This window comes from Homo sapiens, chromosome 9, assembly GCF_000001405.40.
Source record: "Homo sapiens chromosome 9, GRCh38.p14 Primary Assembly".
NCBI classification, from domain to species: Eukaryota; Metazoa; Chordata; class Mammalia; order Primates; family Hominidae; genus Homo; species Homo sapiens.
Genome location: NC_000009.12, coordinates 85,623,506 through 85,643,223, shown reverse-complemented (window position 1 = coordinate 85,643,223; position 19,718 = coordinate 85,623,506). Strand labels below are relative to the sequence as shown.

General features: G+C 36.6%; 1 protein-coding gene across 25 annotated transcripts in view; it reads left to right on the top strand.

Moving 5' to 3' along the window:
- The window catches only part of AGTPBP1 (ATP/GTP binding carboxypeptidase 1), a 258,945-nt gene that overhangs the window by 162,260 nt on the left and 76,967 nt on the right, over positions 1-19,718 (top strand). For all 25 annotated transcript variants that reach the window (XM_047423094.1, XM_047423090.1, XM_047423089.1 and 22 more), the window contains 2 exons: positions 281-397; positions 9,850-10,562. In XM_047423094.1, coding sequence (XP_047279050.1) covers positions 281-397; positions 9,850-10,562 — 830 coding nt within the window. The remainder of the gene's footprint in view (positions 1-280; positions 398-9,849; positions 10,563-19,718) is intronic.

The window sequence follows — 19,718 nt, the reverse complement described above, 5'->3', positions numbered from 1 at the left end:
TCTTGATCTTTACACAAGTTTTTCTGTTTTGAGTAGCCAGAATACTCTGTTATATTAGAGTAACCATGACAAAAACAAAACAAAACTACCCAACAATAACACAACAACCCCAAAACAATAAGCAAATTTGAATTTAAGATAAAATTAATGCAGTATTTATTCAGTAATTATTCTTTAATTACATGTAATTAATAACTTGGAACATTTTAAATCTAAAATGTTTTCTGTAATTTTTAAAAATTTTGTTTTACCTGATAACATACTCTTTTTATCATTTCAGAATGATGATATTGAAACAGATATTAACAAACTAAAACCCCAGCAAGAACCGGGACGAACAATAGAAGATCTAAAAATGTATGAACACCTTTTCCCTGAGCTTGTTGATGATTTTCAGGTATAAATATAGAAAATTCAGCATCTTAACTGATTTTAATAAAAAGTTATTTTTTTTCCCTTAGGTCGATAATCACTGTTTTTATTTTCTTTCCATTTCTAAAAAGTGAAACTAGCATTGCTTTTCTGAGTGGCATTGAATAATTATGTCAATATCCTGAGCTGCAGTTAAGCAATTGTAAAATGAGGGGAGATGGGCCGGGCGTGGTGGCTCACACCTGTAATCCCAGCACTTTGGGAGGCCGAGGTATGTGGATCACGAGGTCAGGAGATCAAGATCATCCTGGCCAACAGAGTGAAACCCCGTCACTACTAAAATATAAAAAAAAAAATTAGCTGGGTGTGGTGGCACGTTCCTGCAGTCCCAGTTACTTGGGAGGCTGAGGCAGGGGAATAGCTTGAACCTGGGAGGCGGAGGTTGCAGTGAGCCGAGATCTCGCCATTACACTCCAGCCTGGTGACAGAGCAAGACTCCGTCTCAAAAAAAAAAGAGGGGAGATGGACTATTACATTTTTTGTCACTTTAGTCTTTTTGCATCACTTTAATGGACACAGTTTTTTTATTCAGCCTGGATTACAGAGCAAGTCAAGTTGATTGAATTGTTGGCAATTAGCTGGCTTTTGTGATGGTTCCTTGGATAAGTCTATGAAATCGCCCAGGATCTTAAAGTGTCTAAGAGTTTGAATTAGATAATCTCTAAGATTTGTTTAGCCCTTCCTTTGTTCCCCAAATTTCATACACTTAATTTCTAGTTGCTTAAAGAAAAATACTTTGTTGTGAGGTTATAGTTGTGAGGTTATAGGTGAGAAATTAAAAAGAAATATTTGTTGCCGGGTGTGGTGGCTCATGCCTGTAAGCCCAGCACTTTGGGAGGCCGAGGTGGGCAGATAATTTGAGGTCAGGAGTTCGAGACCAGCCTGACCAATATGGCAAAACCCTGTTTCTTCTAAAAATAAGAAAATTAGCCGGGCGTGATGAGACACACCTGTAGTTGCAGCTACTCGGAGGCTGAGGCAGGAGAATCTCTTGACCTGGGAGATGGAGGTTGCAGTGAGTCAAGATCGCACCACTGCACTCCAGCAGCCTGGGCAACAGAATGAGACTTCGTCTAAAAAAAAAAAAGAAACATTTATCACCTAGAATTTACATTTCATAGTTCTAATCATTCAGGTTTCAGCTTGGGAACTTAGGAGCCTTAGATGCCATAAAAGATGCAACAACTGTCCACCTTCTGCAGCCTTCCCTGCCACCCCCTGCTCTGGTGTCTTGGTATTCCCCCTAGATTTGAGGTACATGAGAAGGTACTTTGAAATCGGGGTAATAGAAGGAAGGCAGGAATGAAAGAGAAGGTATTTGTCAAAAGAAAAAAAAAAGAAGACAGGAAGAGGCATTTGAGAAAGGGTATAGGTTGATTCTCTTTCATTCAACCTACAGCAGTTATCCGTGAGCTCTTTTAACACATTTGTGTCTAGTTAAGAACCACTTGAAAATATCAGTAATAACAAATACTGCTAAATCAAGGCAGAAGAATACTGTGGAAAAAGTTTGAGGAGGAAATCGATTATTGTGTGAAGAAGTCACCTGTTTCTTCTGTACCTTCTACTTTTTCTGTACATATGAGAAATATATACGGTAGGCCCCCCTTATCCGTGGGAGATAGGTTCCAAGACCCCCAGTGGATGCCTGAAACCAAACCCTTTATATACCATGTTTTTTTGATCTGGTAGCAGATGGCTACTGAGTGACTAACAGGTCAGTTGCATAGATACTGTGGATACGTTGGACAAAGGAAGAGTCATGTCCTGGGTGGGATGGACCATGGTGGTATGCTACTCAGAATGGAGCACTCTTTAAAACTTATAAATTGTTTATTTCTGTACTTTTCCATTTAATACTTCAGACTGTGATTAACCTCCAGTACTGAAACCATGGAAATCAAAACCTTAGTTAAGAGGGCACTACTCTCATGTGATTACAGATTGTAGTTTTGATTTGGGAATAGAAAAAAGTAACCTGATTATAGGTATTAAGTCCAGGACTTTGATTCTTATCCTTTCACAAATGAGTTTTCTTTCTTTTAGATTGTGATGAGTTGTCTTGCATTCTATGTTTAGATTCCCTGTTTTCTAATTATAGTTTGTCACCCAGAATAGGCTAACCTTGATGATTTCCTACATGGCACTTTATGAACAGCTGGCCAACTTGTCCATTAGTTTGGCTGCTCCTAGAGCAGTTTCCTGCTTTGGGTCTGAATAGGTGTGGCCAGGGTCAGATTGTAAAGACAGATCTGAGTGAAAGAGCTTCTCACTAAGTTACTCCTTTTTATTTTCTTTAAGCGAAAGATGCTGCTTCAGATATTTCAAGTAGTACACATTTATTAATGCATTGTCTATTCTGCTGTAAAGTTTTATATAGAGTAGCTCTATTTCTGTAGCGTATGTAATAGGAAATAGCATATCGTCTTTTATTTACATAATCAGAAAATTATTTCTAAGGTAATTGTGTTGCCACTTGATTATCTTTGTCATTTTTAAGTTTCAAAGGAATGCATTATTTGATACTTTAGGCTCTGTTTTTTGAAGTGTGTATTTGAATTTTAGGCAGCAATATGTAAGTGACATGCTTTCAAGGATTAAAAAGATTGGTTGGTTCCAGATAGGATGTGTTTGAAAGAATTTTCTTCAGCTATCTTTGTATCAATTTTTTGTAGATCATGAGATAATAAACATAAATGAAGTTAGTTTCAATTATGACTTTTTCCACTTTCATTTGTATATTATTTTCAGCATCAACCATTAATGCTTAAGATTACTTTATGTGTTTGTTTCAATCTTGAACACCGCCTGCTTTGTTTCCAGCTGTGTTAAGGCCATTATTCAGTGGCCAGATGGAAGGAAAATGAATGCTGTTCGAAGGCAACGTATGGTATTATTAAAGTAATTATCAACATCCTTTGTGAAGTGACCTCACCATGCTTTTAAAGCTATGTTTATTTATTCATAGTGACAATTACAGTTTTATTTTCTCTTGTTTCTTGATGGCAGAATAATGAAAGTATCAAAATTCTGCATTTTCACAGTTCTTTTATTCATATGTCTGTGGTAGCATGATGGCATTTACTATGGACTTTTGTTATATTTTGTTTTTCTTTCTTGTTTTCCTTTTGTTAAATTTGGTTTTAAATTTTTGTCAAAGTTATTCATGGAGAAAGTTTAAAGTGTCAAATAGTTTTATATAGGTAGTCCTTTCCCACATGCTAAATCCTGAAATTACTTTTTGTATGTTTTTGAAGTTGATCCTCATATCTCTAAATAATGTTTAAAGTGCTGTGTCTTGACTTTTGCTGCTTTCATTCTTTTTTATTTTCTTTTTTTGCGTTGTCATCTAAGGGAGATGTCCAGTAATTTTCAGCCTTATTCTTTTCATATGTGTGTGTGTGTGTGTGTGTGTGTGTGTGTGCGCGTGCGCGCGCATGGGTGTGTGTATGTATGCATGCATAGATAGGCTATAAATTTTCCTCCTATAATTACTGTTTTTGCTGCATCGTATAAGCAGTAATTTTGATGTTTAGTGTTTTTATTATCTTTACTCTGAAACTTATTTTTTTTGATTCATTGGTTTTTTAAAAAAGATAATTTTTAAAATTGGCTTTCTAAAAAAGATAAAAAATTTTAAATCTTTTAAATTTATTTCTAGCATATAGTTGTAGAATAAGAAGACACAGTCTTTGTAATCATAACCTTTTAAAAATTTTGAGACTCGTTTTATGGCCTTGGATATGATCAACTTTTGTTACTCTTTCTTATGTGTTTGAAAAGAATTCTATATTCGTTAGTCACAGTTGTCTATTTGCCTATTAGGACAAGATTGTTAATTGTGTTGAGAAGTTAAGTTCTCTTTTATCCTTATGGATTTTTATTCTTATTCTATTAATCACTGTGAAAAGTATTTTAAAAATTTCTCACAATGAAAAAATTTCTCACTTGTGATTATGATTATGAGTGTGTTTCTATTTGCAGGTCTGTTAGTTTTTTGTTATATATTTTTTGAGGGTTATTATTTATTGTATATACATGTAGATTGAGTTTTCTTCCTTTTTGAGTTGGACTTTTTATCATTATGAAGTTACTATCTTTACCTCTAAGATTCTAAGACAAAAAGTACTTTAAAAAATATTAATATACTTATATTAACTTTTAACTTTTCAGTATCCTTCGATGTGTATTTTTTAAACAGCGTATAGTTGGATTTTAAAAATACCAAATCTGAGTTTTGTCATTTAACTGGAGCATTTAGATCATTTACATATAATTACTTCTATATTTGGATTTATATTTATGAAATCTTATTTTAATAGTTTTATCTCTTTATGTTTATCTCTTTTTCTTGCCTTCATTTGGATTATCTTTCTCTTACTCCACCTTTTCCCTATTACTAGTTTGAAAACTGTATATACAGTCTTTTTTTTATTTTAATCAACTTTTTTGAGGTATAGTTTACATAAACTGTATCCATTTAAAGTATTAGTTTGATTATTGACAAATACGCAAAAATTCTAGTTACTCTAGATTTTCCAACATATTTATCAAAGTCTAAAGTAAATCAGGACCTTTCTTTCCTCTTTCCCTCAGCCATAAATGGAAACTTCGAGTATTCTAACTACCATGACTTCCCAAATCAACATATATATATACACACTTTTTTTTTACTAAACATAAAAAGCAAAGCAGTAACGTCAAGTGGGTTTTCTAAAAACTAGAGTTAAGATATATAAAAAACCTATTTGACATTACTGCTTTGCTTTTTTATGTTTAGTGTAGACTTACCCACATTTTTACCACTTTAAAATTTTTCATTACCTTTTGTGTCTCAGACCTTCTGTTGGGATCACGTCGTTTAGTGGCGTGTACTTGCATGTGCACTTGTGCACATGCTGTCTTGCTCTCCCTCCCCGAAAGTGTCTTTATTTTGTAAACATTCTTAAAATTAGTCTCTTTCTCTGGTTACTTTTAAAAAATCAACTTTATTGAGTTAAAATTTGCATACAGTAAGTTTCACTTAAGTTCAGTGAGTTTTGACACATTTATACACCTATGTGACTACCACCCATTGAGACAGAAATATTTCTTGTCATTCCAGAAAGTCTCCTTGGGCCCCTTGTAGTCTCTTCATCTCCTGCGCAGATGACTGCTGATCTGCTCTCTGTCACTGTGACTAGTCTTGACTGTTTTAGAACTTCTTATAAATTGAATCATACAGCATTTACTTTTTAGGGTCAGGCTTTTGCTGAGCATATGTTTTTGAGGTTTACCCATGTTGCTGCATATAACAGTGGTTCTTTCCTTATTGCTTGATAGTATTTTATTTTGTAAATACACCACAATTTCTTTGTGGATGCGTGTTGGAATGTCTGAAGTTTTAGACTTCATTGGACTTTAATATGAGTAAAGTTGATAACATTTTGTGCACAAAATTTTTTGGGGTGGCCAGGCATGGTGGCTCATGCCTGTAATCCCAGCACTTTCAGAGGCTGAAGCGGGTGGATCACCTGAGGTCAGGAGTTCAAGACCAGTCAGGCCAACATGGTGAAACCCCTTTTCTACTAAAAATACAAAAAATTAGCTGGGCATGGTGATGGGCACCTGTAATCCCAGCTGTTTGGGAGGCTGAGGCAGGAGAATCGCTTAATCCCGGGAGCTGGAGGTTGCAGTGAGCTGAGATCATGCCATTGCACTCCAGCCTGGGCAACAAGAGCGAAACTCTGTCTAAAAAAAAAAAAAAAAAAACTTTTTGGGGAGATATGCTTTCATTTCTCTTGGGTAAATACCTATCAGTGAACTTGCTGGGTGGTATGTATGGTAAGTGTATGTTTTTATTTTATAAGAGACTATTTTTGGTGGCTTTTAACATATACTTTTTTTGCTTTAATGCTACAGTTCCTAGTAATGTTGACTAAGTGTGGATTTTCTTTTTTAAAATCCTGTTTGGGATTTATTGTATTTGGATTCTGTGAGTTGTTTTCTCATAAGATTTGGAAAAACTCTGCGTTCTCTTCTTCAGTTACTGCGTTTTGTTTTTGCCCTCCCTCTTTTGCAATTCTAATTGAACGTAGACCTTTTTACTCCCTTTCATGTCTTTTAACCTCTTTTTTCTGTTTTCCTTTTCTTTGCCTCTCTGTGCTGCCTTCAGATTATTTCATTAGAACTATCTGTCAGTTTCCTAATTCTCTTTTTGGCTTTGTCTCATCTGTCATTAGAAATATCTACTAGGGGCCAGGTGCGGTGGCTCAAGCCTGTAATCCCAGCACTTTGGGAGGCCAAGAGGGGGGATCACAAAGTCAGGAGATCGAGACCATGGCCAATATGATGAAACCCCGTCTCTACTAAAAATACAAAAAGTAGCTGGGTGTGGTGGTGCGTGCCTGTAATCCTAGCTACTCGGGAAGCTAAGGCAGAGAGAATTGCTTGAACCAGGGAGTTGGAGCTTGCAGTGAGCTGAGATTGCGCCACTGCACTCCAGCCTGGAGACAGAGCGAGACTCCCTCTCAAAAAAAAAAAAAAAAAAAAAGAAACCTTACAAAATGCATTTAATCAGTCTTTCTTGTTTTCTATATTTTATTTCTTTGAACATATTAAATATGGTCATTTCTTAGTCTGAGATTCTGGTAGGTCTTTTTCAATATCTAATGTTTCTTTTGGTTCTTTTTCCTTCTACCTTGTTGAATTGTATGTTTAGGTTTCTTTTCTTCTTTATAAGTTTGTATGTGGAAATTATGTGGAAACTCCAGGAGCTGTTGCTTTTGAGAGTCACCATTATAGATTGAATCCTCAAGGGCTTTTGGACCACCAAAATGACATGAATTCAGGCTGCGAATCCATGTGATTTGATGGCCGGTTTTTAATACCAGTTTGTGAGTGGTGCTACTTTTCACCATCTTAGAGCTAAGGTTTAAAATTTAAGACAGTTGGCTTTTCTTTTTACGTGTTTTTTTTTTTTCTTTTGTGGTGGGAGTGTTTCTAGGACCTATATACTGAAGATGTAGTACTGGAGTTTCATCTTTTTGAGAGGGAAATCACCTTAATGCCAGTTCAAGGTTTTTCTCCTGTCCTTCATCGCCTTTGAGATGGGAAAATCTGTACCCAAGGTCACCTGGTTTAGCAAATGTTTTCAAAGTGAAAGGTAGCTTCAGTCTTTAGCTTATCACATAGGGATCCCTTCTTCATTTGATACTTTGCCTTTATCCTTGCTTTCTTATCCACTTAATGACAAACTTAAAATATTTTAATATATGTAACAATTGTAAATATTTAATATATGTAAAAGTTGTAAATAGTTCTGTGGGGTGGATACTTAGCCTACCATGTTTCCTACAAAATGTGTTTTTTAATGCAAACTTACTACCCCTTTAACCCTTTTAAGGTAGATCTACCTATTTCCTCCTTATTGCTTCCACTGTCTTCTTGGCTTAGCTGTAGTACAGGGGATCCTGTGAATCATCTTTGAATCCTTGCTTTGTATACAGTGGACATTCAAGGAATAAATCACAATGGAAGATTCTTAATTTGGACTCCATAATGTATATAAGGAAATTAACCCAGATTAAAAGATCAATTGCAAATCCAGAAAAATATTTTCAAAAAATGGGTTAACTGGTGGATTCATGTATGTATGTGTATACAAATTTTTTAACATGAAAATTTATACCGTAAAAAAAGAAAACCCTGTATCCAGGAACAAAAAAGTTACCTATGAAGAATTGCGACTGATTAACAGATGTATAGAAAAGTGTTTGCTTCCCAGTAGTCAGAGAAATGCAAATTAAAATAGCAGTAAGATAATATTTCTTATCTACCACATTAGAAATTTTTTTTTAAAAAACCATAGTATCGAATGTTGGCAAAGAAGAGAGCAGTTGAAATAGATACTCTTATGTATAGTTACTGGGAATATACATTAATACAAGTGTTTTTGGAGAGTTTGGTGTTCTGGCCAGTTTGCATTATTAAAATTGATTATAATATCTGATTCTGCAGTTCCATTTCAGTGCTTAGGAAATCATTATAAACAAAGCAAAAACTCTTTGCAAAAAGATTTTTATTGCAGTTTTGTATAATAGCAAAATTTTGGAAATGACTTCAATATACACCTTATTTATCTGTTTAAATCATCCAAAAAAGAATGATCTGGCCCAAAATGTTTGCCACTGTCATTCAGAAACCCTGCACTAGGATCTGATCTTTCAAAAATAACTCGTGTCATGGCATCCCTCCCTGTCATGGCTTCCAATCTCATTCAGAGTAAAAACCCAAATTCTTATAGTGTGCAAGGCTCTCCAGTGCTTGGCATTCATCGTGGCATTCATCTTGTCCATTCTTTCCCAGCTATCCCATCCTTGCTGTTCTTTGAACACCTCAGGTGTTCTTCCACTCTGGGAGCTATGTGCTCTAGTCCTCTCTGCCTAGAATGCACCCCTTGTGTGGTGCCCTCACCGTCTTTGCTTCTATTTCATCTGCTCATGAGGCTCCTTAACAAATGGCATTTAGAGTTGCCACCTACCTCTGCTCTCTTGGTACTCCCAATCCACATTACATCCTGCCTGTCCTGTCCTCCTTTTTTTTTTTTTTTTTTTTTTTGAGAGAGAGTCTCACTTTGTCACTCAGGCTGGAGTGCAGTGGCATGATCTCGGTTCACTGCAACCTCCACCTCCTGGGTTCAAGTGATTCTCATGCCTCAGCCTCCTGAGTAGCTGGGATTACGGTGTCCACCACCACCATGCCCAGCTAATTTTTGTAGTTTTAGTAGAGACAGGGTTTCACCATGTTGGCCAGGCTGGTCTTGAACTCCTGACCTCAGGTCATCTCCCTGCCTCAGCCTCCCAAAGTGCTGGGATTACAGGTGTGAGCCACTGTGCCCGGCCTTGCCCTCCTTTTTTTTTTTTTCTGTAGAGCTTTACCCTTCTAATGTTCTATATATGAAATATATATCGTATTTATTACTTGTTGTATTGACAGTCCTCTTTTCTACCCCTATACAAATGTCAGCTACAAAAGGGAAGAGTTGTTTTTTTAAGTGTCTTAAGTGCTTGAGACAAAGCTTGGCACAAAATAGACACTTCATAAATATTGCACAAAACAGACACTGTAATGTTATTGAATGAATGAATAACAATTTAGTTGTTGTCCCTAATAGGATTTTGGAGTCTTTATGTTTTTCTGTTTAGAATTCTAAGATTTCCCACATTTCTGTGACATGTAGGCAAAGTAAAGTAGTTGTTATGAATTTTGTTGTGGTTAAAAATTTTGTCTTTTTAGTGAAATGAAAACATATCCGGTTTTATCCATCTTTAAAATTTCCAAAAATTTCTGAAGCAATATATAACATGAATGTATTAGTTTTGTTAATATGTTTTAATATTTACAGTTAAAAGATTAAACATGTTTTTATTTTCAAAGGACTATGATTTAATCTCCAAAGAACCAAAGCCTTTTGTATTTGAGGGAAAAGTACGTGGTCCTATTGTTGTTCCTACGGCAGGCGAGGAAACATCTGGGAATTCTGGCAATTTAAGAAAAGTTGTAATGAAGGAGAACATATCTTCTAAAGGAGATGAAGGTGAAAAGAAGTCTACCTTTATGGATCTAGCAAAAGAAGATATTAAAGATAATGATAGAACATTACAACAGCAGCCAGGTGATCAAAATAGAACTATTTCATCAGTCCATGGTTTAAACAATGATATTGTAAAGGCCTTGGACCGAATTACATTGCAGAATATTCCTTCTCAAACAGCCCCAGGTTTTACTGCAGAAATGAAGAAGGACTGCAGTCTTCCTCTTACTGTCCTTACCTGTGCTAAAGCATGTCCACACATGGCTACTTGTGGAAATGTTCTGTTTGAGGGAAGAACAGTTCAGCTAGGGAAGCTTTGCTGCACTGGAGTTGAAACTGAAGATGATGAAGATACTGAGTCAAATTCATCGGTAGAACAAGCATCGGTTGAAGTACCTGATGGACCAACACTCCATGACCCAGACCTCTATATTGAGATTGTGAAAAATACGAAGTCTGTCCCAGAATATTCAGAGGTGGCTTATCCCGATTATTTTGGTCACATTCCGCCTCCATTCAAAGAGCCTATTTTAGAAAGGCCTTATGGTGTACAAAGGTGAGTTGCATATTTCTTCCCTCTTCTAAATAAGGCTATTGTCAAGATATGAGGCAGTCTTAAAAAAATTACTTTGGGCATTTAGGAAGATAATTACTGTGAGTTATAAGTTACTGTATTTTTAAATTCTGCTTTGGAAATTTTGCCTTGTTTTGAAATTGTCCTTGTTGGTTTACTTTATTTCTTGAGCTTATTCCTTATTCAGATGAAGCCAGAATGATAAACCTGACCATTGGATAGTTTAGAAATTTTCTATTAATACTGAATCTCAAAATACAAAAACAGATTATTTAATAATCTTTGAATAAATATTCTTAGCAATATTTGTTAACTTAGTAATTTGTCATTTGAACTTGAGTTAAGTATAGGATTTAAAAATAGGCTATAAATCACAACAGGGCAACTACAATCAACAGTGATTTATTTTGCATTTAAAAAGTAAAAGTATAATTGGAAGAAAGGATAAATGCTTGAAGTGAGGGATACCCCTTTTACCCTGAAGTGATTATTACGCATTGTATGTCTGTATCAAAATATCTCATTTACCCCATAAATATATATATATATACCTACTATGTACTAAAAAAAAGTAAAAATTGAAAAAATAAAAATAGACTATAAATGAAACAATATAGACAGTATTATTTTGCAAAGTTTGCAATTTTAATTGGAAAACATTTTAATTGGAAATAGATAAAAGTACAGGATTCATAACATCAATAAGATTATTAAATATTGCCAAGTAAGATTAGATATTGCAAATGATATTAAATATTGCCAATGAGTGAATATTTGTCATATAAAAATACCTTTTTTGGTGCATTTGGACTGGTTTTGGTGATTATGGAGAAGGTTTTATGATAATGGCTTGTATCAGTATCTGAAAAAAATTGTATACCCTTGTTACAAGTATAGTGTGTAATAAACAAGGAAGAACTTGCTGTATTTGATTCTCTTTAGACTATAAGTTCCTTTGAGAAAATAACTGCATCTTATTTTTTTTTACCTATAGCATCTTATATAATTCATTATTTTTACTTGGCAACTTAGTGTATGTTTAGTGCCACTGGTTGGCCCCTTGATCCACAGACGTGTCATCCCGTACATCATAGCATCAGAATGGGGGACTTACCTCCCTGGGAAAGATGTGTGGGAGTGGGTCTGTGCCAGGGCATCTACCATGTTACAGATGGCACCATCCAGAGGCAGCTGGCCTCGTGGAGTGCTACAGTGGCCTTCAAAAGGCCCATGTAAAGCTCTAACTCAGGGAATGGTTGGGTTGCCATCTTGCAGCATGCAGTGCATACAGTAAATTAGAAATGTTTCCATAATTCTGTAGAAAGAATACACAAGCCTGGGAACCAGGAGGTGGGAACAGAAGTGGCCCTATTTAGTGTAGCATCCAGTATCCACCCAGGGACTTTCTGTTTTCTGTCCCTCCACCTCTGGGCTCTCCAGGGTTAGAAGTCCTCATTCCCAAAGTGGGTGCAGTCTTACCACAGGGTACAATGTAACAACAAGATGTGGTTGCCAGTGGGGTACTCTGGACTCCTTGTGTCTAAGACCAGCAGGTGAGGGGAAAAGCATACCATTTTGACAACAAGTGATTGACCCAGATCAGCTAATAGAGGTAGGGTTGTTTTTACACAGTGGCAATGGGTTGACTATGTGTGGAACATAGGCAATCCAGTGATTAGCCTGTTGCCTACTCCCTTCCTCAATTTTAACTGTGAATGGACATGTTACAGCCGGCCTGGAATGAGAATGATTACCAGGGGCTCACACTGCTCAGGAATGAGAGTTTGGATTGCTTAATCAGATAAGCTATCAAGACCTGCAGAGGTGATAGCTGAGGGTGAGAGGGATTTAAATAGATCCTGGGGCCTGGGTGCAGTAGCTCACCCCTCTAATCCCAGCACTTTGTCAGGCCAAGGTGGATGGATCATTTGAGGTCAGGAGTTTGAGACCAGTCTGGCCAGTATAGTGAAACCCCATCTCTACTAAAAACACAAAAATTAGCCAGGTGTGATGGCACACACCTGTAGTCCAAACTATTCAGGAGGCTGAGGGAGGAGCATCGCTTGAACCCAGGAGGCAGAGGCTGCAGTGAGCCGTGATCGTGCCACTGCACTCCAGCCTGGGTGACAGAGCAAGACTCTGTCTCAATCAATCAATCAATCAATCAATCAATCAATCAATCGTGCCACTGCACTCCAGCCTGGGTGACAGAGCAAGACTCTGTCTCAATAAATAAATAACTAAATAAATAAGTAAGTAAGTAAGTAAGTCAATCCTGTAAGTAAGTAAATTGATCCTGGGGGATAGAGGTGAGGGCTTGCAACCCTGAGAACAGTTGCAGTGATTGAGGATGAACTCTGTCCCACTGTTTTTCTTCCAAGTTTCCCCTTAGGAGAGGCCCACAGGAGCATATCTCATTGTGCCTTGGCATCTGCTTTTTGAAGAATCTGAACGACCCACCTGGAGTGAGTCAGAGTCAGGCAGCAACTTGATATTTCTTCTTTTCAGCATCATCTCTTAGGCTCTTTACCTCTCCAAAGTCAAAGATGTCATCTTGACTACAGAAGGCACTTCCTGAATTTTAAGTGCTCTTTAAGCCCTGAAAGCAAGTTTTGTTATTAAATTGCCTCAAACTGAAAGTATTTTCTCTTACTAGCCTGTAATATTTGAGGTAAGGTTAGAAGGAAGAAGGATTGTAGAAAAGAGGCATAATTTTATATAAGCCTCTGATTCTCAGCCTTAATTTTAACTACAAAGGAACCCTCTTATTTCCTCTCATGGACTTTATATTATGAAAGCTTTCATCGGTCAAGACACTTATTTAGATATTTTACCTGTTTATGTTAGTAAGGGACATACATCCCTCCCAAGCAGTGCTTCTGAGCAGCATTTGATAACCATTGCTAAACTCCGTTTACTTGATTGTATATATCAATATGTAAAGAAACTTAATGTTTTAATTAAGCGTAGATGTATTATAGTTAAATGCATGATGACTTTGACTAGCTGTCATATCTCTGTGAATGTCTGTATGCAGATTGAGGACTACCACCCTTAGCTCTGGTGACCTCTGTCCTCTTTGAGCAGCTATTTCTGATACTGGGTTTTGTCCTTGCCTGGCTTGCTTGACCTTTCAGGTAATATTGTTCTATCCATGGTTCCAAGCTTCACTCCCTCTCTCTCCCTGACTGAGCCTATCCTGATGATGGAGGAATTTATACATACTGGGAGTTACTGTGACTCTTCTCCAACCTTCTCTGTCTTAATATTTGTGATTAGTTTTCTCACCTTGTTTCTGAAACATGGACCTCAGAATTGTCCTGTAAATGTAATCTACAGATTAGAGTCCAGCTTCTTCCATATATTAGGGCATCTGTAGGACTTTTTCCTGAAGTAATTGACATTCTTACTGCCTGTGTACAGTCTAATATACCACTGAGTTCAAAACAAAGCTTTAAGATACATTTTTAATAGTGTGAGGTAAGTAGCATGATAAGAAATCAAAAGGTGGATGAGAGTTGGTACAGGTGTTTTAAACATAGATATGTTGGTATGCAAGTTAAAGTGCAAAGGAGATGCAGCTGAAGGAAACAAACACAAAAAACCTGGAAATTCAAAACTCTGTTGTTGGCTGGGCGTGGTGGCTCATGCCTGTAATCCCAGGACTTTGGGAGGCCGAGGTGGGTGGATCACGAGGTCAGGAGATTGAGACCATCCTGGCCAACACAGTAAAACCCTGTCTCTACTAAAAATACAAAAAATTAGCTGGGTGTGGTGGCACATGCCTGTAGTCCCAGTTACTCGGGCACCTATAGTCCCAGCTACTCACTTGAACCCAGGAGGCAGAGGTTGCGGTGAGCTGAGATCGTGCCACCGCACTCCAGCTTGGGCAACAGAGTGAGACTCCATCTCAAAAACAAAGAAACAAACAAAAAAACAAAAACAACCAACTCTGTTGTTACCTGTATTTGCTCCTAGAAAATTTGCGATGAGAAAAACAGGACTGGCTCCAAAATGCATTTGAGAATCGAGTGATCCACGTCTCTCCAGAAGTTTCAAAGATTTCTTTCCCTATAGAGATGTTTTCTCTTTGATTTTCACGACCTTGATGGAGATGTGTTCTGATTTGTTGCTGCAGAAATAAGTCATAAATTCTGAAGCAATCTAAAACCTTTGCTAGTCTCTCATCATCATATAATTGTATGATGGTGACTCTTACCAAGTTTGACTGATTTGTATACCCTGTGTTTTAAAGAACACTTTTCATCATATTTGTCGCTCCATTTTCCTGCCATATTTGCCAACATTTCTGTGGGTATTAGATAGTTGACATGCAGCAGGAGAGTATAACCATATTTCACTATGGAGTTGTAGCCCTGAGAACGATTGCATTGTTGAGGATGAAGGTTTCATATTTCAACAAAACAATATGATTCTATTCATATTACTTAGATGTATAGGACTTCCCCAATAATGTTAATCACCTTAGCCATGACTACTACAAAAAATAAAGTATTTTTATTTAAAAATGTTTACAGATTGTGTAATAGACAACAGTACTTTGGTATTTGAAAGTTATTGCCTTTCCCCTCCTAATTTTATATACTCTTTGCAAATATAGTTAACCCTTGAACAATGCAGAGGTTGGGGCACCAGCCCCTGTGTGGTCAAAAATTCAAGTATAACTTTTAATTCCCTCAAAACTTAACTACTAATAGCTTACTGTTGGCCGGAAGCCTTACCAGTAATGTAAACAGTTCACACTTATTTTGTACATTATTTGTATTATATACTGTATTCTTGCAATAAAGGTAAGTTAGAGAAAAGAAAATGTTATTAAGAAAATCATAAGGAACAGAAAATATGTTTACTAATCATTAAGTGGAGGTAGATCACCATAGAGGTCTTCATTCTTGTCAACTGGCTGAAGAGCAGGAAGAAGAAGGATAGGTTGGTCTTCCTGCCTGTCTCAGCAGGGGCAAAGGGGAAGGAAAATCCACAAATAAGTGGACCTGTGCAGTTGAAACCTGTGTTGTTCAGGGGTCAACTGAGTTTTTCAAGTGTTTACATGGGAGTTATGGTGAGCAGTGCAGTGTGGATCTTCACAGGTGCATACTCCAAAGCCTCCACTCTCCCTTTTCACCTTTTTACCCATTATTTTTGAATAATGGGTAGGAAACTCTTCAAAATTATTTGTTCCTCCAAGTAACACTAATGTGAGACTGGAAGAACATATGTGTATGGCAGAAATGCTTGGATAATTGGGTTAGACTTGATGAGAGGGGTGAGACCATATATGTGGTGAGACATCTTGTCAGGGCAGGGCAGGATGCTCTCTGAAAAGCAAGTTTTAGACTTAACTCTCCCACTCTGTGTGTGTGTGTGCGCGCACATAAATAACTTTATTTCTCTGGATAACAATTTTCTCAACTTTTTAAAAGCAAAGATTAGACCAGTGTTTATCAAATTTGGGTTGATACTCATTAGTAACCAATATTAAAATAACAGTGTGTCACATGTAGTACAGCTAAGTATTGTTTCATAATTCTTTTGATTCACCTCTCTGTTTCTCTTTTGTAGGCTTGTGATCTTTAAAATGTGTTTCTTGTTGGTCATATTAAAAAAGTTTGGTAGTCATTCACCTAGGTTAGGGTTGGCATACTGCGGTCTGTGTGCCAAATCCATCCCAAATCTGCCAAATCTGCCTGGTTATGTTCAGCCCATGAGCTAAAAATGGTTTTCACATGTTTAAGTGGTTAAAACAATTGAGAGGAAAATAAGGCTTCGTGGCACATGAAAATGATATGAAATTCATATTCGTGTCCACAAATAACACTTTGTTGGAACATAGTCATGCCTTGTTTTTTAATGCATTGTCTATGACTGTTTTTGTGCTACCATGGCAGAGTTGAATGGCTGTCATGTGGCCTGCAAAGCCTATCTGGCTCTTTGTAGGAGAAGTTTGCTGACCCCTGTAGCCACTCTGAAGGCTTTATGGTTCTATATTTGTGATAAAATATCAAATATAGTTCAGGTTAAAGGTATTTCCAAAGTACTCAGAAGTGCTTATTTTAAAAAATACATTGAGGATGGTAATTCTGGTTTGCTTATTTGCCTAGTCTTCTGCATCTTATGTTTGAGCAAATGATGACATTTTGTGAATTATTTGCCAACTTATCACATTCCCTACCTGAATGCATTGTAAATGAATGATGTCAAAATTAATGAAGAATTACTGTTTTATCACTTTCAGAAAAGGAAACATTAGACTCCTTTACATGATTTCAGTGAAAATATCCTGATTGTTATTTTGAATTTCTACTGTACAGTTTTCTTATGTGCAATCACTGTTTTAAAGAAAGTTCAGTATAAAATGAATAAAACTTGGTTAAAAATCTCTTTACCTCCAAATGAAAGAGAAACAGTCCATTATAAGTAAGATTCGTATCTCAATGTAGATAGCACACTAACATTTAAAAAATTGTATTGCAAACACACTGATGATTACTTAAACCTATATTTTTGGTTTAAGTTGGATTTAAAATTAAAATTAAATTTATCTCTTATTTTAGTATGCTTAGCATTTTTGGTGCATTTTTTTGTTTTTATAGTCCATAACATTAGAGAGTAGGAAGAAGTCACTTTTTGTCCCATCCTGCAGAGATAACCATTATTAACATTTTGATTTATTTTCTTTCCATTGTTTTTTCATATATCCTAAAAAAAAAAAAAAAAAAAACAAAACTAGGTTTTTTTTTTGAGACAGGGTCTCGCTGTGTCACCCAGGCTGGAGTGCAGTGGCACGATCTTGGCTCACTGCAACCTCTGCCTCCCAGGTTCAAGTGATTCTCTTGCCTCAGCCTCCCAAGTAGCTGGGATTACAGGCACGTGCCACCACTTCTGGCTAATTTTTTGTATTTTTAGTAGAGATGGGGTTTCACTGTGTTAGCCAGGATGGTCTCGATCTCCTGCCATCGTGTTCTGCCCACCTCAGCCTCCCAAAGTGCTGGAATTACCGGTGTGAGCCACCGTGCCCGGCAAAAAAAAAACTGTATTTTTAAAAACGTTTTATTATAAATTACACTTTTATATAATATGTGATGCCTGTTTTAAAAAACATTCAAGATATTTTTAAAAAATACGCTTATGAAAATAAAATGAAAAATAAGGGAAAGGAAACGGTGACAACCACAAAAGCATGGTTAACTTAACTCCAAATGAGAGAAATGTAAGTTAAGATGTACTGAGATATCATTTTCCACATATCAGATTGGCTAAAATCTAATTGAGCATAACATTCTATTGATGAGGTTATGGAAAAACAGCCTCTCTCATACATTAATTGAAAGAATTCATGTATGAGAGAATCTCAATTGAGGGAATGTCAGTTGAGAATACCACTGGTAGAGGGTGATCAGACAGATTCTATCAAGATTAATGTGCATGTTTCCTTTGACATGTCAGTCCCACATCTGGGAATTTGTGAGATATGTTTATTTCACAAATCTCACATGTCTGTGTGCACACATAGTTTGCATACGTGTGAAGTGGCATTCAAAGTTTTTCATTGCAGTATTGTTTTGAGATTGGATACAACTCAAGTGCCTATTTGTCAAGGACTAGTTAAATTATGGTGTAACCTTTTTATGAATAATGTGCAGTGGTTGAAAAAACAAAAAGCTGTCTATACCCTGATAGAGGTGTAAGATGTATTATAAAATGAAATAAACAAGGTGCTTGTTTTATGACGTTTTAGACTTCGTATCAGAAGGAGGGAAAAGCAGTCTACATTTATGTTTTCATCAAGTAAAATCTGGAAGAAAAGTAATAAAAGTAGTTCCTTGATTATGTGGATGGAAGATACAGGTTGTGTTAATAAGTGAGACTTTTCATTTTTTGCTTTTATATCATACTTGATTTTGTGTAATGCCAGCATATTACCTTTTCAGAAATTTTAAATTAAAAAGTAGATAAAGAATTGTGGCAAAGGCAAAATAAAGAAAACAAAACTCTGGATTTCTTATATGAAGTTTAGAATGGCTTGGAAAACACAGGTACTTCTGGAATTGAGGCAATAGTGGAAGTATTGGTAGGAATAAAAGCAGCAGATAGCTTTTATTAAAGACATTTTAGGCATTTTGTGGGCCAGACACACAATTCAGTAACAAGCATTTTATATGCAGTGTATATATGCATATAAAGTGTGCCATTTAATACTATAGCACCTCTATGAGGAAGGTGCTATTATTTTTCTTATTTTACAGAAGAGTAGGTTGAAGCTCAGGGTTGTTGAGTTACACTACTGGTAAATGGCAGAGCCAAGAGTCAAACCCTGGTCTATATCATGAGCCTATCCTGTTGATCGTATATATGTACTGATCACATATATATGTTATACTCTCTGTAAAGAAGATGATCTTGAATCTTCTTTCTAGCAGATACAGATAATATGGAACCTCAGAGCATACTGTTAATGTGATGAACATTTCCCATAATGTTCTTACAATAAATATAGCAATGAGATTTACTAAATGATTTCTTATAGTGTTGCCCTGTGGTTGAAAACCTAACAAAGTACAATTTTGCTGGTGGCCACATATCACATGTGTTTTTGAGTATGGACTGAATAGGCTATATATTTTCTAGACAGTCCTGCATAAATTATTCCTTTCCATGCCAAGTCTTTCATAAATGTTGAATGGCAGTAAGTTTGAGGTTATAGTCCCTGAGAGTACCTAGACTATTTGTTTTGACTGGAAAGCCATGTATTTCAATAGGTGGCTGGGGTAAAGGAAGGAAGAGTTGTCATTCTTCTATAAAAGTTGATCTGCTTAACACAAATACATGTCTGAATAAAAGACTGTTTCCCTCCTTTTTTTTTTTTTTTGAGACAGAGTCTCGCTCTGTCGCCCAGGCTGGAGTGCAGTGGCACAATCTCAGCTCACTGCAACCTCTGCCTTTCAGGTTCAAGCAATTCTCCTGCCTCAGCCTCTTGAGTAGCTGGGATTACAGGCACCCGCCACCACACCCAGCTAATTTTTGTATTTTTTAGTAGAGATGGGGTTTCACCATGTTGGCCAGGCTGGTCTCGAACTCCTGACCACATCGTGATCCTCCTGCCTCGGCCTCCCAGAGTGC